This window comes from Homo sapiens, chromosome 17, assembly GCF_000001405.40.
Source record: "Homo sapiens chromosome 17, GRCh38.p14 Primary Assembly".
NCBI lineage: Eukaryota > Metazoa > Chordata > Mammalia > Primates > Hominidae > Homo > Homo sapiens.
Window position 1 is genome coordinate 35,350,087 of NC_000017.11, and position 25,144 is coordinate 35,375,230.

At 39.9% G+C, this 25,144-nt stretch overlaps 1 protein-coding gene and 1 long non-coding RNA gene across 18 annotated transcripts, besides 5 other annotated features; one reads left to right on the forward strand and one right to left on the reverse strand.

Annotated features, from left to right (window-relative positions):
• Positions 1–218: 218 nt before the first annotated feature.
• SLFN11 (schlafen family member 11) lies at positions 219–23,535 on the reverse strand. Of its 17 annotated transcripts, none has more exons than NM_001387158.1 (7): positions 23,496–23,535; positions 17,517–17,614; positions 16,861–16,957; positions 12,653–13,740; positions 10,157–10,285; positions 3,250–3,973; positions 219–3,053 (listed from the first exon to the last, which is right to left on the reverse strand). In NM_001387158.1, exons 4-7 carry the CDS (start codon positions 13,719–13,721, stop codon positions 2,270–2,272), a joined length of 2,706 nt encoding a protein of 901 aa, NP_001374087.1. In that variant the 5' UTR covers positions 13,722–13,740; positions 16,861–16,957; positions 17,517–17,614; positions 23,496–23,535; the 3' UTR covers positions 219–2,269. The 17 variants fall into 17 exon arrangements, with proteins under 17 accessions (NP_001374087.1, NP_001098060.1, NP_001362937.1 ...); NM_001104590.2 differs by having other exon boundaries at positions 16,861–16,977; NM_001376008.1 differs by having other exon boundaries at positions 16,861–16,977; positions 17,455–17,614.
• Positions 18,303–18,352: an enhancer, noted in NCBI's record as "active region_12062". NCBI's record gives its function as "activates an Ori minimal core promoter by ATAC-STARR-seq in GM12878 lymphoblastoid cells {active_cell/tissue: GM12878}" and the evidence as "EXISTENCE:reporter gene assay evidence [ECO:0000049][PMID:35858748]".
• Positions 18,453–18,502: an enhancer, noted in NCBI's record as "active region_12063". NCBI's record gives its function as "activates an Ori minimal core promoter by ATAC-STARR-seq in GM12878 lymphoblastoid cells {active_cell/tissue: GM12878}" and the evidence as "EXISTENCE:reporter gene assay evidence [ECO:0000049][PMID:35858748]".
• On the forward strand, positions 23,011–24,769 carry LOC105371933 (uncharacterized). Its single transcript, NR_171638.1, has 2 exons — positions 23,011–23,141; positions 23,826–24,769. It is a non-coding gene; the product is annotated as an uncharacterized LOC105371933 (long non-coding RNA).
• Positions 23,503–23,552: an enhancer, noted in NCBI's record as "active region_12064". NCBI's record gives its function as "activates an Ori minimal core promoter by ATAC-STARR-seq in GM12878 lymphoblastoid cells {active_cell/tissue: GM12878}" and the evidence as "EXISTENCE:reporter gene assay evidence [ECO:0000049][PMID:35858748]".
• Positions 23,643–23,692: an enhancer, noted in NCBI's record as "active region_12065". NCBI's record gives its function as "activates an Ori minimal core promoter by ATAC-STARR-seq in GM12878 lymphoblastoid cells {active_cell/tissue: GM12878}" and the evidence as "EXISTENCE:reporter gene assay evidence [ECO:0000049][PMID:35858748]".
• Positions 24,363–24,462: an enhancer, noted in NCBI's record as "active region_12066". NCBI's record gives its function as "activates an Ori minimal core promoter by ATAC-STARR-seq in GM12878 lymphoblastoid cells {active_cell/tissue: GM12878}" and the evidence as "EXISTENCE:reporter gene assay evidence [ECO:0000049][PMID:35858748]".

Consider the following 25,144-nt stretch of genomic DNA (forward strand, 5'->3'; position numbering starts at 1 on the left):
CAGGAGGATCACTTGAGCCCAGGAGTTCGAGGCTATAGTGAGCTATGATTGCACTACTGCATTCCAACCTGGGCAACATAGTGAGATCTTGTCTCTTAAAAAAAAAATTGAAAGTTAATGTTGCTTAATCTTTTACTGGCTCGTTTTGGCCCTCTCACAGAGTCACTGGCCTCAGTCTTCTCCTTTTCCCCCATTTAAGCACTTATTTTACAAGACCATTTTTTTCAGTTTAATGAGACACAAACTCTCAACTTTTTATTTAAAACAGAAATGCAGTAGTAAGCTAAACCTTTTGCCATTCATAGGGAAACAAATATCAGTAATCCTCTTTGTTCTAAACAAAAATTCATAATTATTTATACATTTTAAAATATTATATTGTTTCAAATATTGTTAGTGGGGCAATAAATCATAAAGAGATACAACCAGTCGAAATTAGACTTTTAAAGAATTACTCTCAAAGACATTGCAACAACTCCAAAGTCCAGGGATCTTATAAGACTAATTTATTAGTAACAACATTTACAAAGATAGCTTTTTAATGCTGAGTTGTATCTGATTTAATGCAGTCAGAAAGAAAAAAGAAACATTTATCTCATTTTGCTGATCTGTCAGATTTTGCTTAAGTTAGGAGAGCCTGCAATTTCAAGCCCAGATAACTGGAATTCCATGAATAAACACAGAAAGACAGGAGAAAGGCAAGGAAGTTCAAAAATCACAGTCTGGGGGGAAATCAGTAGAGTAAGATTACCAATAAGTGAAATATTGGTCATATGATTTCTTAGTTTCCATTAGTTATGCAAATATTTTACTGTTAATATTTAGATTAGTGTTTTAGAACGTTTTGTAGAGACTGAAAAGCAAATAAATAATTGCATTAGCATTGTTAAGTATCAGTGTTTTCTGTTTGACAAATAATCGTACAGCTGTGTTCTCAGGCTGCAATAACAAAACACCAGAGACTGAGAAGCTGAAACAACAGAAATTTGTTTCTCACAGTCTGGAGGCTGGAAGTCCAAGACAGAGTCCAAGACTCTCGCCAGCAGCGAGAGTTTGATTGTGAGGCTTCTCCTCTTGGCTTGTAGGTGGCTGCCATCTCTCTGTGTGCTCCCATGCCCTCTTGTTTGCATGCACAGGGAGGGAGGGAACAAGCTCTCTGGGGTCTCTCCCTATAAGGACACCAACCTTAGCAGATCAGAGCCCCACCATGACTTCATGTAACCTTAATTACTTCCTTAGCAGCCCCAGCTCCACAGTGCAGGTTGGGGCTTCAACACGGGAATTTGGGGGTGAAGGGTGGGACACAAACATTCAGTCCATAACAATGGCCCACCAAACCATGAAAGTAAATAGAAAAAAAATCACAGTTCAAGAATAACATAAAACTTAACTAGGTGTGTTATAGAGCAATGCATAGAACTAAGCTGAGAAGTTAAAACATAAACTCATTGATTTTTAAAGACAATCTTTCCCAAGTCTGGTTCACCTTAGGGCTGATACACACCTTCAGAACCAGATTTTGGTCTCTAATATCATCTTCCACTGAAAGCCAGGGCAAACAGGTTTATGTTCATTTCATCTTGGCCTATAATTTCTCCTTAAAGTGACCATTAATATTCACTATCACAATTAAGGCTTGGTCTGGGCCATTCTGAGAACAAGCTCTGGAGACCACAATTTTAAAGGATTAAATAATCATAACGGTATTCTTTGTCCTGACAAAATTATTAATCTGACAGTGACTGAATTATCTTCGGACTCTCCCAAGCCCTAAATGAATACAGCAAAGATAAATGTCAAGAATTCAGGAAACAATTGCTTCTGCTACGGCCAGTAAGCTCCTAACAGACCATGCTTCTGCAGAAAACGATTCTGGACAAATTTTTAAAAGCAACAAACTGCATGAAGTCACTTAAAAAAAGAAGCCCAGCCTTGGAAGAAAGAAAGGCCACAGGCTGAGTTTCTTATTTTTATGGCTTTTACCCAAAATGCAAGACACAGATCGGCATTGTGCAGGACAGCTAAAGTTCCTTTAGAAAACCACCATCTTTCTGGCTGGAAGAGTCAGGGGTCAGAATGGGGGGCAGCCACCGCTGCTGAAAGGGTTGGGGAAGGAACCCCTGAAAGGAGAGCCAGAAATGGGGGAGCTCCAAACTCTTTGTGTCAGCTCCGTCCAAATCTCTGACTTGTGAACTAAAAAGAAAGGTTTCTACCATCAGCAGACTGTCACCCATAGACATTTACATAGCATTTTGATTTGGAGTTCTTCCTAATGGCCACCCCACGGAAAAATATACAGGTGTTGTTTTGCCCTGGAAGCCAGACAGATCAGAACATTGGGTAAGATAGCTGGGTCAGCTGTCCTTGGATGGATCCCAAACACTATGCTCCTTTCCAGGCCTGAGAATCGCCGAACACTGTCCAACACAATGTGATCACCCAACATATCACATGCATCACTGAGCTGCACCACCCTTTTCTTCCTCATTGCTTTCAAGAGCTCATACTTATAGTGCTCCACTTCTTTTGCGGTGCTGACAAGCACAGCAACATCCTTTGGAGAATAGCCCCTATCAAAGAAGCGCCTGCACGTGTCTGCCACACAGGTCATTATTTGCTCCACAGTCAAGTATTTCTTAATTCGTAAGGTTCCCTGAACACCCTGGGACCATTCGGCTTCAGGAAATACCTCGAGGCACCCAGTGGGGATGTTAAATGAAGGATTACTTCTAATTACTTGCATTTCTTTTTGTAAGTACTTGGCTATTGGATCTGCATTGCGAACTATTCTGGTGAGCTCTTCTCTTGGATATTGGTCTGAGAGAGGAGGGAGGCCACTGCAATCCAAGTGGCTGGTCTGAAAGTAATCCAGAAAGATCCAGAGAATTCCTGGGCCACCCTTTGCTCTCCGAGTGATGCTTTTTGCCTTCCCATACCAGTCCCCATCTTCAGTACGGAAATTCTGAGCTTCGTCAATGACGATGTGTTGAATGTGTTCAAAGTTTTCTCTTAGGAAAGTTTTCCGGGTCTCTGCTCGGCAGATATTTCTATCACTGTAAAAATTAAAAGAACACACTCAGGTTTTCTCTAAAAAAACAAGGGGAGAAAATAATTGTATCATGTTCCTCCGAGCACAGTACATTACCACAGATCATTTTACCACTCAATTCTCAAGAAAGACGGTGACTTAGCAGAAAAAATTAAACCCAGATTAAATAATACTTAGAGACGTAAGATCCAACTGCTTACCTGATAAAGTTCCTCAGAGGCTGGTTTTCACAAACGTAGAGAATTCTGTGTGCCTCACAGTGAAACACATTCCTGATCTTCTCCATGATCTTCATGGCCATGATGGTCTTCCCTGAGCCAGGTAAGCCGTGGACAAACAACTCTCTGTTCTTGCGGAGGCTTCTGGAGAATATCTCATACTGCTGGGCTGTGAGCAGATTTAAAACCTCACAGCCGAGCTGGTCACTCAAGAGAGACCTGAAGCCGAGTAAGACAATCACGAGGGACTGCAGCAGGGCTTCCATGTGCTGGGTGCCTGCAAGGCTATAGGACGCAGGGTAATCCATCGGAGACACTGCAGCCTCCAAGGCCTCTGCGCTGCTCTCAGGACTCAGGCAGAGGACCTTGGCCCTGACACACACCTTCCCGGTGTAGCCCCCCATGTTCACTAGCTTCTGCTTCAAAGTAAAGGCGGTGCGAGTGCAGTAGTCCTGGCCCTCTGCATCTTGCTCCCTGAGAATGGTGTAGAGAATGGGGGTGCTGTTCTGTGCTATCAGCAGAGCATCACAGATGACTCCTGGCTTCTCCTGCAAGTTCAGGTCCACAGCCCAACTTCTAGAGAAGATCAAAATTCCCCGAAAGAAAGGTTGCATTTGCTTATTTATTAACTCCTCTAGTCCTCTGTGCTCTGAGATCAGGTCCCTCCAGAGTGACTCTGGAGTATATCGCAAATATCCTGGTGGGACTGTATGTGAAAAGAATGATAAATTAGAGGAAGAGAAATAACCCTATTGATTAAGATGACTAATTATAATTAACTAATTGATTAACTAAATGATTACTTATAGAAGTTTCAAATACTATTTTATAAATATTATTATATTATAGTTATAAAGGAAAAGAACCCTTGGAATATCTGGTATACTTCATCTAAACCCATGTGTTTTTTACAACTTATAACCTTGGGAAATTCCTTAGCCTAAGACTTTGCTGTCTCATCTGTAAAACAAAACTAAGAATAGCACATTTCCTATGAGGAGGAATAAATGAAATAACATAAAATGTTTGGCTCATTGTAGCTGCTTGAGAAATGTTGGTTCTCCTCCTCCCCTTTCTACTTTCAAAGTACCTGAATCTCAAAATGCCCCATTGCTGGGAGTAGCAGGAGCCCCCCCTCCTCCACTGCCACAGGAAGAAGGTAGTCATTAACTCCATAGTTGCAGAGGAGAGGGAGTCATATTAAAACCTTTGTTGGCAGCGAATTTCCTGCAGTCCTGGACTGGAAGATTCTTAAAGCTATCTCTCCTGAAGCAGAATTCTTGCATCACTTAAAGATCAACGTATGGCTCCCCACTACCACAAAAGTCTTCCCTGTGTCACAGGCAAACAAGAAATAATTATGTGACACGAGAATATACTTGCATTGGAGGATTATGAACTTATTTCAATGATCAAGGGTTCCAAAGTGGGAGGGGGAGGAAGATAATTGTTGTCCTGTTGTGGTAGTGTTAGAGTACAAACCCAAATCAAGATTTGTAGTGGTAATTTCAAATGAAATTACCCAGATTTTATTGGTAATTGTTTCTTGTTCATTGTTGCTAGTGCTTTCTCATTCGTACCAGGTGCTCACACGACTTGATTATCCCTGCAACCTAGATGACAGTAGGAGATAGCATCTATTATGAGACACATCCAGATTTTAGAGATGTTAAAATATAGGGGGAGATACACATCTTAGAATGGATAAAATAGGATAATTGAGTATATGTTTAAAATGAAGCTTTGGAAACCAAAGAAATGTAAAATAAGAAAATACATCATTTGTTGATTGTTACCAGGGAATTTGCATGTATCTCTGGTCTTCACAAATTTTCCAAGGATGACATATTTATTCCCATCTTCATATGAGTAGATAAGGACTCAAAGAGGTCAAGTGAGAGCTGGGTGCAGTGCTATGGGCCTGTAGTTCCAGCTACTCAGGAGGCTGAGGTGGGAGGATTGCTTGAGCCAGGGAATTTAAGGCTGCAGTGAGCTATGACTGCACCACTGCACTCTATCCTGGGCGACAGAGCAAGATACTGTCTCAAAAAATAAAAAATAAAAGAGATCAAGTGATTTGCCCAACATCACACCACTAGGAAATGGCAGGGCGAGTCTGAACCCAAGTCTCTTGGACATCGGATCCTCTACTGTTTTTGCCCTGCCCTGCAAGTCACAGACTACTCCTGCCTGATAAATGGTAAAAGTCACTAAAACACTTGATGTTTATTTACCTTATCATTGCATAGGTCTTCTTTTTCTTTAATTGTATAATGGAGCATGCTTCTGAAGGAAATTATAGGAAGATAAGAAGTGCTTCTTTCATTTCTTTGATATTCCACATAACAGTAATGATAGGGACCAGACTAGGTGTTCAATTAATGCCATCATTCCAGGTGCACCAGAGTAGTCACCACTCCCCATGTGATTTGAGGACTCTGTGCCTTTGCACAGGTGTGCTCTGAAACTCTGAAGACTTCCACCTTGATCACTTGATAAACTCCTCACCCTCCCCAGAACTCCCATATTCATCCTTCTGTCCTCAGAGCTCCCACTTTGTATCCATTCTGGGAACTAATTTCACCATGGATCTAGGGAATCTTTAGAATCAGCAGTGAAGGGTCCAGGGCAGTTGTTCTCAAACCATAAGAAATCAATCAGGTGAGGTATCCTAAAGGTTTAGGACACCAAGAGGAAGAACACTGGAGCTGGCTGATTCTGACCTACTACACCAGGCCCTGACTATCTTTAGTACCAGTAACTCCAGTTATAGACAAAATTTCTATTTGAGACAATCATTGCATTTCTTCCAAGAGAAGCACTGACAGCATTGATTCTGAAGCCAAATTATTGTCAATCAATGCTAATAATTAGTGTGCTAAGAACATCTTTATTCTTAATATCTGGATTCTAATTGTAAAAGTATAAACATAGTTTGTTTACCACCATTAATGTTCAAAATCTAATAACAATAACAGTGTTCCAAAAATGAAAATTGTCTTTTAAAAAAATAACTTTAGTTAATATATTCCTATACCAAATACCCAAACACTCCTACTCTCATTTTCTTAATTTCCTGCCTTCCCAATCTCACCCTTCTCCCTTATCACAGATACTTTTAAGTTTCTTGCCTATTCTTCCGAAATTACTTTATGCAAATACAAACAAATATTCTGCCCTTTCTTTCCCAACAGGTAGCAAACCATTCAGCAACTACTTTTTTCTTCACTTAGCAATGTATGGTAGAGATCTTTCCATATCAATGCACAATTCCTTATTCTTTTCTTACAGCTATCTAACACAGTATTTTATGGATGTACCATATCTTGTTTGACCAGTCCCTATTGATGGGCCCTTGAGTTTTCCCTCCAGTCTTTTGCTATTATGTTAATACTACAGTGAGTAACCTTGTATGTTTGGTGTGTATGTAAGCATATGTAGCATACACACACACACACACACACACACACACACACACATAATAAAATCCCAAAGGTTAAATGCATTTGTGATTCCAATATATTAATATATTGCCAAATTGTCCTCCAATGGAGTTGTACCAATATGGACTCCCACTAGCAATGTACAAGAAGGTGTGTTTCCCCACAACTAGCAAATAAGAGATAATGTCAGGTTTTTTCATTTTTTAACAATCCAGTAGACGGAAATAATTCTCCTTTTAATTTACATGTCTCTTATTTTGATTAATATTTAGCATCTTTTCAAATGTTTCAAAGCTGTATGAATTTTATTTTCTCTGGACTATCCGTGTTGATTTTTCTGTGCGTGTGTGTGTGTGTGTGTGTGTGTGTGTGTGTGTGTGTCTGTGTCCTTATCAACTTCTGGAAGCTCTTTATATATTAGAGACACTGGCCCTTTGGTTGTGATACGGGTTGCAAATATTTTTTCTACTGGTCATGGTCATTTGACTTTGTTCTTAGTGGCTTTACTCATGCACAATACTTGTTATTTGTATGCAGTCATATATAACAGTCTTTACTTTTATGGTTCACAGATTTTGAATCTTGATTTTTTTAAGTCTAACGCAAAAATTATAAAGATGTTTGCCTATGTTTTCTTCTAGAACTTTTCTGGCTTTTTGTTTTAAATTCTTGATCCATTTGTAGTTTATGTTAGTATATGAAGTAAAGTATGAGTTCATCTTTTAAACAGTTAATTGCCACCAAGTTACCCTATGTATTTATGAGCATGTCTGTTTTTCTCTACTTACTTGCAAGGCCAGTTTCATGATAAACTAAATTTTAATTTGTGTTTCTGTGTATTTCCAGATCCTACATTCTGTAACTTTGGTCTAATTATATGACAATACAACTCTTTTTATTATTTATATATATAATATATATTTAAATATATATAAATAATATATATCATATATAAATAATATAAATATATAATATATAAATATGAAATAATAAACATAAAAATATAATATAAAGATTTTAAAAAACAAATAAATAATAAAATTAAAAATATATAATTATTTATATAATATATATTTTATATATCTATATATTATAGTTATATAATTATATATTATATTTATATATCTATAAATAATATATATTATTTATAGATAGCTTCCCTTGTTTTTCAGGTTTTAATTTTCCAGCTGTTCTTGCTCATTTAGTTTTTATGTTTAGATTTAAATAATCTCTTTTTAAAATTGATATATAAAATAACTTCAGAATTGACAACTTTGTGATGTTGACTCTTCCTTCAAAGTATGTAACATTCCCTGATTCACTTATGCTTCTGTGTCCTTCAATATTATTTTAACTTTTGCATTAGATAGGTTTATTGCAGATATTTTAGCTTTTTGTTGCTATTGAAAATTGGGTGTTTTCTTTCATTATATGTTATATTAAAGATACTGAATTCTGCATATTAATTTTTATAGTTTCTTCTTATAATACTAATATAAGTACTTATATTCATTCTGAATTATTTTACTGTTTACAGTAGTTTTCTTTGATTATCATGAATTCTCCAGATATATAGTCCTATCTTCTTCCATTTTAATCCCTCTAATTTCTTTCTCTTATCTAACTGTATTGGCCAATTAATATTACATTGTACTTGTAATATGCACATGGCTGTTTTGTTCCTGAATTTAATAGAATGCCTGTAATCTCTCCCAATTAACATGATGTTCTTGGTGGACATATATATACATGTAAATATATATATAATGTTAAAGAACTATAGGTTACTATTTTATTGAGGACCTTTAAAAAACAACATGTATTGAGCTTTTTCAAATGCCTTTTTGATGTATTAGAAAACAAATATATAATTTATTTGCATAGATACACAGAAATGATGAATTACATTAACTCTTTAAATGTTGACACATGCTTGTATTTCTGGAATTCTGTCTTTGCATCCTCATTAATAAGTAGGATTAATCTGAGTTTTCCTTTTCCTTTTCCTTTTCCTTTTTTTCTATCTTTAACAAGTTTTACAATTACTGTTATTCACACTTAAAAAATAGCTTAGGGCTGGGCACAGTAGCTCATGCCTATAGTCTTAGCTTCTCAAGAAACTGAGGTGAGAGGATCACTTGAGCCCAGGAGTTCAAGGCTGCAATGAGCTATGATCACATCACTGCACTCCAACCTGGGTGACAGAGCAAGATCCTGTCTCAAAAAGAAAAAAAGACTTGGGAATTTGTGTTATTTTTCTATGAATTTAGAACAATGTAAATAGTGTAAAAAATGCCTATTTTTCAAAAGTTTGGTAGAAGTTTTAGAAAACTGATTTTTTTATACCAGAATAATAGGCTGTTCCTCTATGGGCATATAGCCCATTATTTTGTCTTAGTTATAATTTATTCCATGGTAATAAGCTCTACTAAAATGGATCTTATTGAGCTTAAAAGGTGATTAGCAGCGCTTAATAGATTTACTGTTAGATTTTACATTGTTTATTGTGGACAGTTTCTAAAATATAAATTTGATATGTAAATGAATGCAAGGACCTTGGATAAAGGAAAAAATGAAATTCTAATGGGGGCAGTCATTATCTATTAATTTAATGATCCTTGACAGATATTTACACATATATAGGACATTTATGTATCAATTATAGTGCCAGATAAGCCACTGACTTACTGCACAGATTTAAGCAAGTGGTTTTCCCTCTCTGGGATTCTACAAAGACAGCAATGGATTCCTAAGCAAAGCCTATCATGGGAACAAGGGATAAGAGTAGAGAAAAGGCGTTGACCTTGGTCCTGAATTATTGTGTTTGTGCTGCTACGTGATTGTCCTAAACCCAAAACATGGGAAGAAATGCATAATCCATCTCCATTTTAAATGTTTTGTTTTCCATCTTGACCTAGATTTATATTGTTTTCTCTTATTTACAACCACCACTCCCGTGGAAAATCTGGCAAGGGCAGGCAGTTTTTTGGCTGCTCTCTGGTGCAGCATATGACTAGTTTGACTAGATAAAAGGTTTCCAATCTAGATGAACATAAAATCATGAGGGTAGTTTGAGAAAAGTACATATTGCAAGCCACTCTCCCCACATATTCCAATTTGTTATGAGTGGAGTAGGGACTCAGATATGTGTCCTTTTAAAAATGACCAGAAACACTGATGATCAGCCAGATTTGGGAACTACAAGAACAAATAGTCTTTAAGGGAAATAATGTTCCTGGATTCTATGTGTGGTCCTGCCTTAGCCAGTGGGGTCAGTAAGGGTTCATTTCTAAACCACTTATCACCAATAGGATTGTAACATCATCACGTCTTACAAATGGGTTTGCAGAGCACTTTCAGGATTTTACAAAACAAATATTATAGTTTAATCTCCCTTTATCCTAATATAGAAACTGGCTGGTGTTGAGAAGACAAACCATAATTACCTGAAAATAAAAGTTGCTGGAGTTCCTTTTTATGTTCCAGGCCTTTCTTGGAGTACACTGGTCTGCTAAGGGGAGGCCCACTAGATAGACTCAGCTGACATTCAAAATCTTCAGACAACTGTAGAAGATCTTAAGAAAGAAAATTCATGTTATTCTGACGTGTTAATCTCTTCATACTGAAAGAGGCTCTATCAGTAGGTGGAATGTGTGACTTTCTAAATAGTTTGACTTGAGAGATAATATCAAAATAACTCTCCTCTCACTCACTTACTCTAGATAAGTGCCTTTATTGCATATCAAGGTTGCCAAAACCCACCCTGAAAAGCCATTATTTGGAAGTTTAACTGTATTTCTCCATTCAGTATAATTCTTCATTCTCTGTATCTGGTTAGCATTTTGTTTGCACACCTGTTACGTTACCTAGCTCATTCTTTTAGTACTGCTGTCTGTGCATGTATCTTGTTTTACATCCCCTCTCCAACTGCCACCACCTCTCCTGAACCCAACTCTCAACTCTGTTCAATATCATCTCATCACTGATTTGTAATTACCATTACTCACACTTAAAAAATAGCTTAGGGCTTGGGCACAGTAGCTTGTGCCTGTAGCCTCAGCTACTCAAGAGACTGAAGTGAGAGGATCACTTGAGCCCAGGAGTTCAAGGCTGTAGTGGACTATGATCACGCCACTGCACTCCAGCCTGGGTGACATTCTGACACCTATGCTTATTCCTGAAGTTAAAATGAGAAATTGTGTGAAATCAAAGGACATTATAGAGTGCATTAACTTTTTCATGTGCTTTGGAGATTGGAGTCAGCTTTATAATATCTCCTTTCCAAGTACACATCCACTTTACTCAGAAGATTGTGTCCCAATTTTTATGTTCTCTCTGTGTTTCTCCAGGCTTAGGGTGTTCTCAGTTGTTCTAGAGACACTGAGATAGCCCACTAGCCTGCCAAATTATAGCATGATGGGGTAAATATAGAAACATGTTTGGGAAGCAGTAGTGATGCAAGGCAAGAAATATTTCAAACTGTTAGGAGCAGAGGGGTAGAGCAGATTATACCTGCTGGCATAGAGCATAATGGGTACATGGTGATGAGTGGAAGAAAAGGCAAAATATCAACAGGATAAACAGAGACACAGGACAATATGAAACGGTACTGAGGACAAACCTTGAATACACCCCTACCCCCGTGACCCTCATCACCCTGAAATACTTTCTGTTCTTTTGTTTTTGAGACAGGGTCTCACTCTCACCCATGCTGGGGTGCATTGCTGTAATAATGGCTCACTGCAGCCTCAAACTCCAGGGCTCAAGTGATCCTCCCACCACAGCCTCCGAAAGTGCTGGAATTATAGGTGTCAGCCACCATGCTTGGCCCTGAGCTACTTTCAAATTTTCCTGAGCTACAAAATCAACAATGTCCTCAAGGATCAAGAGATAAACTACATCTTAATTTAGGCAGGGTACTATTATAAGGTGATAGCAAACTTCAATGCAAAGGGCTTTTTTTTTTGAGACAGAGTCTCGCTCTGTCACCCAGACTGGAGTGCAGTGGTGCAATCTCGGCTCACTGCAACCTCCTCCTCCCAGGTTCAAGCAATTCTTCTGCTTCAGCCTCCCAAGTAGCTGAGACCACAGGCACGCACCACCACGTCTGACTAATTTTTCTATTTTTAGTAGAGACGGGGTTTCACCATATTGGTCTTGAACTCCTGCTCAGGTGATCCACCCACCTCAGCCTCCCAAAATGCTGGGATTAGAGGCATGAGCCACCAAGCCCAGCCCAAGAAAGCAACCCCAGAAAGCAGTACTATCTATGCTGGTGATGGTTTAATAAACAGATCTAGTTGAGAAGAGATCCCTCGTTCATAGCCAACTGCCAGTTTCTGTTTTATAAATCTTCCTGCCATGGACAATTTCAAGCTCCTAATGGATTATCACTAAATACAGAGTTGGAAAGCCATGCACAGTAGCACTCCATTTTATAGTATTCCCACCACACAGATACAATAGATGTAAATAATCTCTCAAGCAAAGATAATAGTGAAATGTAGCAAATAATTAGGAAGTGGTGAGTTTGAATTTATTACATTTGTTTCTGATACGATTTATTTAGGTGCAAGTATATACAATCTAATTTTTAGTAATAACTATGTTTAACAACTAGCTCAAAAATTCCTGAAAATTTAATAATTGATTCTAAAGCCAGTAAGAGCCATTCCAGTACACCATTGCAAGGGTGGCCATTCTCAAATAATTTTCTGTTCAGTTACTAATGTAGAAAATTGGCCATTTATAGACATGTGAGTTAGGTTTCTAATCACCCAACAAAATTTTCTCATGTATGAAAAGTAGAATACTTGGGGATTCAAAATAAAGTGTTCAGTGGATGTAAGATGTTCAAAGTCATAGGCAGCAAAGGAAAATTTAATATGGGAGGTCCCAAGGATGTAGAAAGGACAGGGAGGGAGGAGCTTTCTCCCTCTTACCTGGATCTGTGTCTGTCATCATGCCTACCCATTTCTCGGTTGTCAGGCTGCAGACGTACTTGTCCTCCACTATCCATGAATTGGGAGCTTCTGAGAACACTGCACAGCAGAAGGGATTTACTCTGATCATGCAAGCATAGCCATAGAGCTCTCCCCTTTTTAACACATTCACAATTTTGAGTGTGAAGGTTATCGGGCGTTGGGGTTGGCAAAAATGAACACAAGGTAGTTTGTATATGGCTTGTTCTATTTTCCTTCTCAAAGAGTCAGGGTCAACATTTTCTTTTGCACATCCCAGGACTTCCCTACTCTTATCATCCACTCCAATAAAAAGATAGCCTCCTCCAGTGTTTGCAAATGCAGGGACGTATTCTGGAATTGTCCTTTTTACATATTCTTGGAAGTGTTTTGTAGAGAACTGTTTAAACTCTACTAACTGAGACTCAGGAAAAGGCAGGATTTCACCATATTCAAGATAGTCTTTTTGGAAAATTAGGTCAGCAGGATCCGAGTTTGGGTCAGCAGGATCCGAGTTAGGGAGCTCTTGGTATACACCCTTGTGAATTTTGTGAAAAGGTCCTTCTTCCAAGATTTTTGGCTTCCTTTTGGTCTTCAGGAAACAGAATGCCTCTCTTGAGTCCATGGAACGCACAGAGGTCTCAGATCTACGGTATAATGAAGAACTGAGGCTGCAAAGGCGGGGCTTGACAGAGCGATCTTCAGGGAAAGGGCCACTGCTCCAAGATTTAACAAAAATGTAAAAACACCTTCCTTGTTGCTTGGTCTCAAAGAAAGCCTGCAGATCTGAAGACTGAATAAGCTCTCTCAAAGACTGTTCTAAATCCAGTCCCATCTCCACGGGATGCTCAACCTTCTTGGCCATTCGAATCACTCCTCCTCCTGAGTTTAATAAAGCACATGCAGCCCGCATAACTCTCTCCTTCTCTTGGTCTCTCTGAATTTTCTGCAGCTTTTTTCTGTTTTCTTCTCCAAGAGTCACTTCTCCTACATTGATGACCAGGTCTGGGTAAGATGGTTCCACAACCAGGGGGCACTGATTTGCCTCCATGTTGAACTCACAGCTGAAACTATTAGAAGAAATGAAGTGTTACATGCATGCAATTCATTTATTAAAAGGGTATTTATTTTGTGTCTAATATGTGCTGAGAGAAGACAATAGACTAGCAAGCAAGACAGGAGCAATCCCTTCTCTTTAGGAGAAGAATGGCTGGCAAGGAAGGGTGCTAATGAAATTAGCATTTAACATCATATATGATATGGGCTATGAGAGGAAAAATATACTAAAGGGGTATCTAAACTAATCTGAAGATGATGGTTCAAAAAGACTTCCAAGGCAAAGGTGACATTTAAAGACCTGAAGGATGCATTGGAATTGGCCAGGTGAAGTTATCAGCATTGAAGAATGGAAGCAGTGGAGCGCATGAAGGGCATGTGTACAATGGCATGAGACTATCTCAGTTTAGGTTGTTGATGTTCCAGTGAACACCAACTTTAGGGGATGAGTAAAAGAAAACAACATTGAAAAGGAGACTTCAGAAAGGACTGACTGTGAAAAACCAGAGGTAGGAGAAAAACCAAGGGCATATGGTATTAAGGAAGCCCAGAACAAAGTCACCTGCACAGAGGTCTCAGATCTATGGCATAATGAAAAACTGAGGCTGCAAAGGTGGGGTGTGACAGAGCCAAGGTGTCTAATACTGCTGACAGGTACAGCTAGGTGATGACTCAAAAGTGTTATTAGGTTTAGTAAAATTAAGGTTATTGGTGACTTTGAAAAATGCTGTTCAGACACCTGGGCAGTGGGCACCAGGAGGCAATAAACCAGAGGCTAAGGTCTTACAGACCAGAGTTCATGGAGATGGCTTGAATTCCACTTGTCATTAAAAGTATTATAACATTAACCTAGATATTTAATCTTTCTAACTCTGTTTTCTTACCTATAAAACATGGTGCATCCACCTTAATATGCCTGTTATTATGAGGATTAATTGAGAATAATTCTCAATAAGTATTTAACACTATATTTTGGTTCACAGGTGTTTAGTAAAGGAATCTATATTAATTGTCCATTTCACAATGAGTCAACGAATAAATGGGAGGTAAGGAAATAGTATCATCAAATACGCACAACTTGTTCACTATATGAAGCTATAAAGGGGAGAGGTAAAAAGAAATGTAGCTGGAGGAAAAGAGGAAGTTAAAGAATCTTATTAAGATGGGAAAGGCCTGAACTGAACATATTTAGATGGGAAGAAGCCAGTAGGGAAGTGAAAATTTAAAGAGGTAGAAGGAAGTTGGGATGATTGAGACAGTGAAAGCCCTGAAAAGAGAGGTAAGGAAGGAATGTGATCCAGGATGCAGAAGAAGGTCAGGAGGAGGAGAAATGGAGATAATAGGCATGGGCAAAGGTAGGCTTATCGCTTTGGTGGGAGGAAGCTGAAAGAGTCCCCTTCTGATAGCTTCACTTTTCTCTTTGAGGTAGGAAATAAAGTCACCCCCTGAGACAGAGGCACTTGGTATAAAAACAGGACAAAAATATTTTTTGCGTGTGAGATGGGGTCTCACTCTGTCATCCAGGCTGGAGTGCAGTCACAGCTCACTGCAGCCTCAAACTCTGGGGCTCAAGTGATCCTCCCACCTCAGCCTCCTGAGTAGCTGGGACTACAGGCGCACAGCCACTATACCCAGCTAATTCTTTAAAAATTTTTTTTTTTGTAGAGATGGGGGTCTCCCCATGTTGCCCAGGCTGGTCTCAAACTCCTGGGCTCAAGCAATCCTCCTGCCTTGGCCTCCCAAAGTGCTAGGGATTATAGGCATGAGCCACAATGCCCAGCTGACAAAAACATTTTAATAATAGAATGGAGACAGTTTGAAACAGACATTATAAAGAACAAGAAAGATATTTGACATGGGAAACAAACAACTTACAATGGAAGATTAATACAGCAGACAAAATAAGTAAATCATATCTTCAAGTATAAATAAACTCTCAAAGCATGATGATAAATTTAAAAAGCAGGTTTGCAAAAAATAATATACAATAGAATAGCATTTAGATTAAAATATTTTAAAAACTGTAATAAATACGTTTATGTTTAGTAAAAGGAGAAAAGCATAGTGAATAAAGATGCACTTATTTTTTACAGAGGTTACAATAAGGATGGAAAATAATGAGATTGGAGAATTAAGCCTTTAACTGTACATACAATGCTGTAAGTTCAGAAGAAAAAGCACCTGTACCAAATACATCTCAGAGGTGGGTGGGACATAAATTTTTGTTGTTTTCTTGTCTTTGCACTTCTGGAATTCTGAATTATTACAACATTTTTTAAAAGCCATCCTCCTTCAAATTAAAAAGGTAGTCGGGGGAAAGGGTAGGATTTTATCACAGAAGTAACTGAAATCTGGACTATGCATTCTAAGACAAATAGGTCAGGGAATGAGGGTGGCAGGGATCGCATTGATAGGAACGAAGTAAAAAGGTGAATGGATTATAGGTCTCAATAAGGGAAATAATAAAGAAGGAGCGTGAACTTTGAAATAAAGATTATGAATAATCAAGATTAAGAATTGTTCAAAAAGATCAATATAATCAACAAATAACCGATATCACTATTTGAAAATTATTATTTAAAACAAAATTGTAAAAAATCAGTACAATCAACAAATACTTTGCATCATTATTTGAAAATTATTTTTTTTAAATAAAAATTTTAAATACAGTCAACAAATACCTTGCATCATTATTGGAAAATTATTAAAATAAAATAAAATTTAAAACAATCAGTAAATTCATAAACTATTTTGAAGTCATCAAGGATATATACAATATGTAGAAGCAGACTATCACAGCCTTATTTTCCTTTCCTACAAAAATCCATCCTATACTAAAGGCTTGGAATTACAAGTCTCAGTGGGTGCTAGTAACTCTGAACAGATAAGGTGGATGTTATTGCAGGTGACAGAAGGAATGAGATGACTGAGGTGTGAAGACATTTAGAAGAAATTTGTTAGATAAAAGTGAAGGCTGGGCCGGGTTTGGTGGCTCATGCCTGTAATCCCAGCACTTTGGGAGGCTGAGGCAGGCAGATCACTTGAGCCTAGGAGTTTGAGACGAGTCTGGGCATCATGGTGAAATCTCACCTCCTCAAAAAATACAAAAATTAGGCAGGTGTGGTGGTACTCACCTGTGGTCCCAGCTACTCAGGCGGCTGAGGTGAGAGAATCACCTGAGCCTTCGAGACGAGATTGTGGTGAACCAAGATCGTGCCACTGCACTCCAGCCTGGGGGTCAAAGTAAGAATCTGTCTCAAAAAAAAAAAAAAGAAGGCTGGCACATCCACATTCTTACCACCTTGCCTAGTTTAGACCCTTGCCTACAAATTTCTATTTCTCAAAATTCCATTCTGCATTCCAAGACCATTGAAACATCTTTGTCAAGTTATTTGTAAAATATTCCTTTCGATGTACAGGGATTTCAAAGTTAAATATTTTCTCTGCCCCATAAACTTTATTGTCAAAGCCAATAGATTATAGTTTTTGGTTGGCAATTGTATTTAAACAGCAACCCCACCATCTGCTTAGATTCTTTTGCAGGCAAAAAAGGCTTAGGGAGCTCTATCTCAAGCTCTTTCCTTAGGATTAAAGGAATTATAATCAGCATCACTTGCACATTTTTTGTAAGGTAGAGATATTGTCCCATATAAATTTGAAATCCTAAATAAAATTAAACTAAGTCAATAAGAAATTAAGAATTCAGAAAAGAAACTCAGTACACTTACAAAAGCACTTCAGAAACAAAAGCACCTGATTCTAGTCAGTTTACAGGATAACTTTTTCAAACCTTTCAGTGTAGCCAGAGTTCCCACCAACACAGTGAATTAGCACCACCTGCTATCTCTTTCCACCAAAAGCAGTCCTGAAGGCTATGTATACAGAAACCTATGTAGACAGAGGTAACAGAGTTCAAGGATTAAGACTCAGTTTTCCTAGGTTCAAATCTCAGCTCTGCCATTTATTAGCTGTACGGTTTCCATTTATTAGCTGTATGGTTTCCATTTATTAGCTGTATGGTTTCCATTTATTAGCTGTACGGTTTCCATTTATTAGCTGTCCCCATTTCTCCCCATGCCCCAGGATCTAGTCCTGCAGGACCCCTGATGGAGCAGTGACTCTGATGTGGACATGCAGGGACAACCACCCCCAAGCGAGGGGCTCAGTGGGTAGCATCTGTGCATTTCTCCCCTGCCAAGAAGGCTTACCTAGTTTGCTCAGCAAACTCCCTAAAAGGTGAGGAATTAGCCTGGGAAAACTTTGCAATGTCAAATTGTCAAGTAGTGCCCAATTTTCTGTATGCTTCTGGGTGGTTCTTATTTTTTTGTTTTACTTCCCCTTTCCTTCCATCCTCCCACCCATCTCCCCTAGATCACAGGGGATTGGCTAGCCTCAGATAGAAACTGAACAGAAAGGGAAATGGGAGGGCAGAACAAGACGGTGTAATAGAAGGCTCCACCTACCATCCCCCTTCTCCAGCAGTGACCATGTGGTGCAGAGAAATCTGTGTGCTTGGGGAAGGGAGGGCACAGCAATTGTGAGACTTTGCATTGAACTCAGTACTGCCCTGTTACAGTGAAAAGCAAAACCATGCTGAATCCAGCATATACCTGCCCATGGAGGCAGAATTTGGACCAGCCCTAGTGAGATGGAAATTGTCCATCCCAGCAGTTGAAACCTGAGTTTCAGCAAGCCTCGCCACTGTAGCTGAAGTGCTAGGGGGTTCTAAATAAACTTGAAAGGCATTCTAGGCCACAAGGACTGAAACTCCTAGGCAAGTCCTAGCCCTGAGCTGAGATCAGAGCCAGTAGGCTTGGAGGGCACACGACCTACTGAGATACCAGCTGGGGCGACTAAGAGAGTGCTTGCACCACCCCTCCCCCAACCCCAGACAGTGTGACTCTCAGCTCCAAAAAGATCCCTTCCTTCCATTTGAGGAGAGAAGAGAGAAGACTAAAGAGGACTTCTGTCTTGCATCTTGGATGTCAGCTCAGACACAGTAGGATAGCACATTGGTCAGGGTCATGAGACACCCATTCCAGACCCTATCTCCTGGACAACATTTCTAGACACACTCTGGGCCAGAAGAGAAACTGCTGCCTTAAAGGGAAAGACCCAGTCCTGGCAGGATCTATCACCTGCTGACTAAAGAGCCCTTGGTCCCTGAATAATCAGCAACGATACCCAGGTAATATGCCGTGGGTCTTGGGTGAGACTCTGCTGGCTTCAGGTGAGACTCAGCACAACCCCAGCTGTGGTGCATACAGGCAGAGACTCTTTCTGCTTGAGAAAAGCAGAGGGAAAAGTAAAGGGGACTTTGTCTTGCACCGTAGGTACCAGCTTAGCCACAGGGGTAGAGCAACAAGTAGGCCCTTGGACAGCATTTCTGGACCCAACCTGGGCCAGAGGGGAGTCCACTGTCCTGAAGAGTGAGTCCCAGACCTGGTAGCATTCACCACCAGTTGACTAAAGAGCCCTTGGGCTTTAAGTGAATATCAGCAATAGCTAACAGTACTCCCTGTGAACCCGTGGTTGTGTTGGCCACAGGGTCATCTCCTCTGCCTGTGGAAAAAGGAGGGAAGAATGGGAAGGACTGTGTCTCATGATTTGAGGGCCAGCTCAGTCCCAGTAGAATGGAACACCAGGTAGACTTCTAAGGTTTTCTTACTCCAGTCCCTGGCTCCTGGATAGCATCTGTGAACCCACCTAGGGCCTGGGGGAACTTGCCACTCTGAAGAAAAGAACACAGCTTGGCTGGCTTCACCACCTGTTGATTGTTTGAAAAGATAAACAAAATTGACAAACCTTTACCAGGCTACCTGAGAAAAAAAGGAGAATACCCAAATAAATGAAATCAGAGATGAAAAAGGAGACAATACAACTGATACTGCAGAAATTCAAAGGATCATTAGTGGCTACTATGAGCAACTGTATGCCAATAAATTGGAAAATCTAGAGGAAATAAATTCTTAGACACATACAACCTACCAAGATTGAACCATGAAGAAACCCAAAACCCGCACAAACCAATAAGAAGTAATGAGAACAAAGCCATAATAAAAAGTCTCCAGCAAAGAAAAGTCTGGGACCCGATGGCTTCACCACTGAATTCTACCAAACAGTTAAAGAAGAACTAATATCAATCTTACCCAAACTATTCAAAAATTAGAGAAGGAGGGAATACTTACAAACTCATTCTATAAGGCCAGTATTACTGATACCAAAACCAAAGACACATCAAAGAAAAAAAATTATGGACCAGTATCTCAGCAAAATACTAGCAAACTTAATTCAACAATACATTAAAAAGATCATTTATCATGACTAAGTGCTATTTATTTCAGGGATGCAAGGATGGTTCAACGTATGCAAATCAGTCAATGTGATACATCATATCAACAGAATGAAGGACAAATGCCATATGATCATTTCAACTGATGCTGAGAAAGCACTTAATAAAACTCATTATCCCTTCATGGAAAACTCCTCAAAAAACTGGGTATAGAAGGAACATACCACAACATAATAAAATCCATGTATGACAGACCTACAGCTAGTAGCATACTGAGTAGGGAAACACTGAAAGCCTTTCCTCTAAGATCTGGAACACTATAAGGATCCTCACTTTCACCATTGTTATTCAACATAGAAATCCTAGCTAGAGCAATTAGACAAGAGAAAGAAATAAAGGGCATCTAAATTGGAAAGGAAGAAGTCAAATTGTCCTTGTTTGCAGGTGATATGATCTTACATTTGAAAAAAACCTAAAGACTATACCAGATAACTATTAGAACTGATAAACAAATTCAGTAAAGTTGCAGGATACAAAATAAACATACAAAAATCAGTAGCATCTCTATATACCAATAGTGAACAATCTGAAAAAGATATAAAGTAATCCCACTTACAATAGCCACAAATAAAATTAAATACCTAGGAATTAACCAAATAAATGAAAGATCTCTACAATAAAAACTATAAAATCATGATGAAAGAAATTGAAGAGCCAAAATATGGAAAGGGGAAATATACCCATGTTCATGGATTGGAAGAATCAATATTGTTAAAATATCCATACTTCCCAAAGCAATCTACAGATTCACTGCAATCTCTATTAAAATATCAATGACATTCTTCACAGAAATAGAAAAAACAATCCTAAAATTTATATAGAACCACAAAAGACCTATAATAGCCAAAGTTATCGGAAGCAAAAAGAACAAAACTGGAGGAATCACATTACCTGACCTCAAATTATACTACAGAGCTACAGGAACCAAAATAGCATGATACTGACATTAAAAACAGACACATAGACCAATGGAACAGAATAGAGAACCCAGACACAAATACACACACCTAAAGTGAACTCATTTTTCACAAAGATGCCAAGAACATACACTAGGGAAAAGACATTCTCTTCAATAAATGGCACTGGGAAAACTGGATATCTATCCGCAGAACAATGAAACTAGACTCCTAACTCTTGTCACATATAAAAATCAAACGAAAATGGGTTAAAGACTCAAATCTAAGACTTCACACTGTGAAACTACTACAAGTAAACATTGGGTAAGATCTCCAGGACATTGATCTGAGCAAAAATTCATTGAGCAATACCCCACAAGCACAGGCAACTAAAGCAAAAATGGACAAATGGGATCACATCAAGTTAAAAAGCTTCTGCACAGCAAAGAACGCAATCAACAAAGTGAAAAGACAACCCACAAAATGGGAGGAAATATTTGCAAATTAACCATCCAACAAGGGAGTAATAACCAGAACATATCAGGAGCTCCAACAACTCTATAGGGAAAAAAATCTAATAATCCTATTGAAAAATGGGCAAAAGATTTGAATAGTCATTTCTCAAAAGAAGACAAATGGCAAATAGGCATGTGAAAAGGTGCTCAACATCACTGATCATCAGAAAAATGCAAATCCAAACTACAATGAGATACCATCTCATCCAAGTTAAAATGGCTTTTATCCAAAAGACGGGCAATAACAAACGCTGGCAAGGATGTGAAGAAAAGGGAACCCTCAAACAGTGTTGGTGGGAATGTAAATTAGTACAACTATTATGGAGAACAGTTTGGAAGTTCCTCAGAAAACTAAAAATAAAGCTACCACACAATTCAGCAATTCTACTCCTAAGTATTGACCCAAAAGAAAGGAAATCAGTATATCCAAGAGACATCTGCACTCCTATGTTTCCTGCAGCACTGTTTAAAATAGCTAAGATTTGGAAGCACTCTAAGCGTCCATCAGCAGATGAATGGATAAAGAAAATGATGTGCATATACACAATGGAGTACTATTCAGCCATAGAAAAGAATGAGATCCAATCACTTGCAACAACACGAATGGAACTTGAAATCATTACGTTAAATGAAATAAGCCAGGCAGAGAAAGACAAACATCACATGTTCTCACTTATTTGTGGCATCTAAAAATCAAAACAATTGTATTCTAAGAGCAGAAGGATGACTACCTGAGGAAGGGTGGTAGGAGGGAAGGGGTGAGGTGGGGAGAGTTAATGGGTACAAAAAAATTAGAATGAATAAGACCTACTATTTGATAACACAACAGTTATTATAGTCAATGATAACAATTGTACGTTTTTAAATAACTTAAAGAATGTAACTGGATTGTTTGCAACTCAAAGGGTAAATGCTTGAGGGGATGAATACCCCATTCTCCATGGTGTGCTTATTTCACATTGCATGTCTGTATCAAAACATCTCATGTACCCCATAAATATACACATCCACTATGTACCTACAAAAATAAAATAAAATAAAATAAAAACTAATGAGCATAATTGGATTGTTGGTAACACAAAGGATAAATGCTTGAGGCGATGGATACCCCCATTTACCGTGATGTGATTATTAAACATTACATGCCTGTCTTAAAATATCTCATGTAACCCATAAACATATACATCTACTATGTACCCACAGAAATTAAAAATTAATTTAAAAAAAAAGAAAAGAAAGGGAAATGGGCTGCGACAGATGTGCCCTCTTGGAAAACTAAAACTTAGAGCTCTTTGTCCTTCTGGGGTAGCACGTGTATTCTACAGATCTTGTCCAGAGGGAGACATTTTTCTCATTTCTCCCCCCTCTAGATTATAAATCTCCCCGCAGGGCAATGGCAATTCTAATTCTGCCTTTTAGTTTCTATATTAAGGAAAATAGTTTAGAGTGGTTGGTCGGTCACATAGACAGCTGTAGAACTAGTTTCTCAAGTTTAAAATACCAATAACTCTGAAACCTGAGATCTGCAGCCCTGGGAGCCACCAAGGTGCACTCAGTGGCCTTCTAGGCTTCGGTTCCTGCTCCGCGCCCCGCAGAAACCGCGGCTGGCTGGCCAGGGGCTCTTCCAACTTCCAGCGGGAGCAGGTGCACAGGTCAGGCCCGCCCCGCCCCTAATGCCTTCTACCCCCATTACCCACCCCCGCCCCGCCCGCCAGTCCTCCATAGTCCGCTTTTTAGGGAACCTGCTGAGCAAACTAGCTGGGCCCCCGGACAGGGGAGAAAAGCACAGATACCCCCACTCCACTCCACCCCCAGCCCCTCCGCACCCCTCCAGCCCCTCCCCACACCCCACACCCTGGCTGGGGTGGGGTGGGAAGGGTGCTGCTCCCTTCTCGAACCTGGCACTCGAGTTACAGCCCGACGCGGATTCGGCTGGGCTAGACCCTGAAGCACGGGTAGAAACGCAACTCCGGAGTCCCAGGCTGGGGGCAAGGACCCTCTCTGACCTCTCAAGCTCCAGCGCTTCCGAAGCCCCCTTAGCGTTTCCCTGGAGGCGCCCAGGTCGAGTCCTTATATACTAGCGGGTTGGCGCCATCCCACGCACATCCCACGCAGGAGATGCAAGAGCCAATGGGCGGGTCTGCTAAGCCCGCGAACTCTGCCGCGTTAAATTGCCTAGAAGCTCCCACCCTTCTGACTGTTGCCACGTAGTTCTTAGTTTCCGGGAATTTGGGGATTTTTTCCTCCCCCTTCTTCCCACCCTTCCTCCGTCTCCTCGCTCCCTCCATCCATCTCTCCCTCCCTATCATCTATCTATTCATCTATCTGGATTACAGCAAAACAAAGAATAAAGATTATGAAGAAAGAGAAGAACTTCCCAGGCCCAAGCAGCTGTCGGCTCCTGCGCTCCCAACGGGGTGGCCGTTTCCTTCCTCGCACCCTCTTCTCTCCCGGTGCCTGCGGTCCCACCTTCCAGATACCCCTCGGAGAGTCCAGCTGAGCTCTCGCCAGAGCTTTCCCCTTCCAACCCGCTCGACTTGCCCAGATCCCAAGCTGGGCTTCTCTCTCCATCGCCCCAGAAAGTGGGTCTTGGAGACCGAGGCAAGAATTTGGGCCTCCGCTTCTGTTCCAGACCCCGGACCCCTTGCCAAAATGCGGCAGATGTGCAGATTGGGCCGCGCTTGGTTCCTGGCTGGGTTTATGGAGCCTGCGGCTGAGGCAGGCTCCGCAGACCCCGAGCCAGAGTGGGATTTAACGGCGGCCGGTGCGCTGTGCTTGGTCAACCCCGGTAACCGTCACGCTGCTAGTGATATGAAAAAAACCTGCCAGCGTTCTGCTTTTCTGCCCCGCTGCAGTCTTTAGCACCCGCCAGGATTCTGTCCGAGTGTTTGGATTTTGTAATCCTCCTGTCTTTGGCCAACTCCCCATCCTTGGCGGAGCGCTCGCCCTTGGCCGGGCTCCGTGCTGCCAGCCTTGCGGAACCCTAGGCCCGGGCGGCTCTGTCGGAGGCCCACTTCTCACTGATGCGGAGTGGCCCGAGGGTGGGAGCAGCGGTTAATGCCGCACTGATTAATACAGGCTCCAGTGAAAGCGAAAGTAAGAAAATAAAACGGATTTCATTATACATATACAATGTGTGTATGGATACATGTACATACATATTACACTTATGTGTATGTTACGCACGTTTGTTAAAATGAGGTCATAATGTTCATGCTGTTTCATAACCCACTTTCTTTCAATGACCACCTTTTCATTTCAGTAAATCTTCGTATTCTCATGTTGCAGCTTCTCCATTTTTCTTTAACATGTTTACAGAGAGTCTGTGCAAACCTGTACCAAATCCAGAACCATGCATCTATAACGTGCTAAAAGATTGTCAACCTAGAATCCTATAACAACCACAAAAAAGGCCTACCTAAATGGAGGCAAAGTAATGACTTCAGACAAAAAAAAAAAAAAAGGAAATCTGAAAATCTGAGGGAATTTGTCACCAGCCGATCTTTCTTATGAAAAAATATTAAAGGAAGTTCTTTAGCTGGAAGGAAAATGATACCTGAATGAAACTCAGATCTACAAAAAAGAATGAAGAGCACAGAAGATAGTAAATATGCAGATAAATATAAAAAATCTCTTTTTTACTGTTAAAATTATT

What these genes read in the sequence shown, in the direction of transcription:
- SLFN11 (NM_001387160.1), bottom strand. Translation starts at nt 13,721, where the DNA reads ATGGAGGCAAATCAGTGCCCCCTGGTTGTGGAACCATCTTACCCAGAC. An exon ending in CCAGCAACTTTTATTTTCAG is followed by an intron (nt 3,974 to 10,156) that starts GTAATTATGGTT and finishes TTTCACATACAG; the next exon opens with TCCCACCAGGATATTTGCGA. An exon ending in CCTCTGAGGAACTTTATCAG is followed by an intron (nt 3,054 to 3,249) that starts GTAAGCAGTTGG and finishes TAATTTTTACAG; the next exon opens with TGATAGAAATATCTGCCGAG.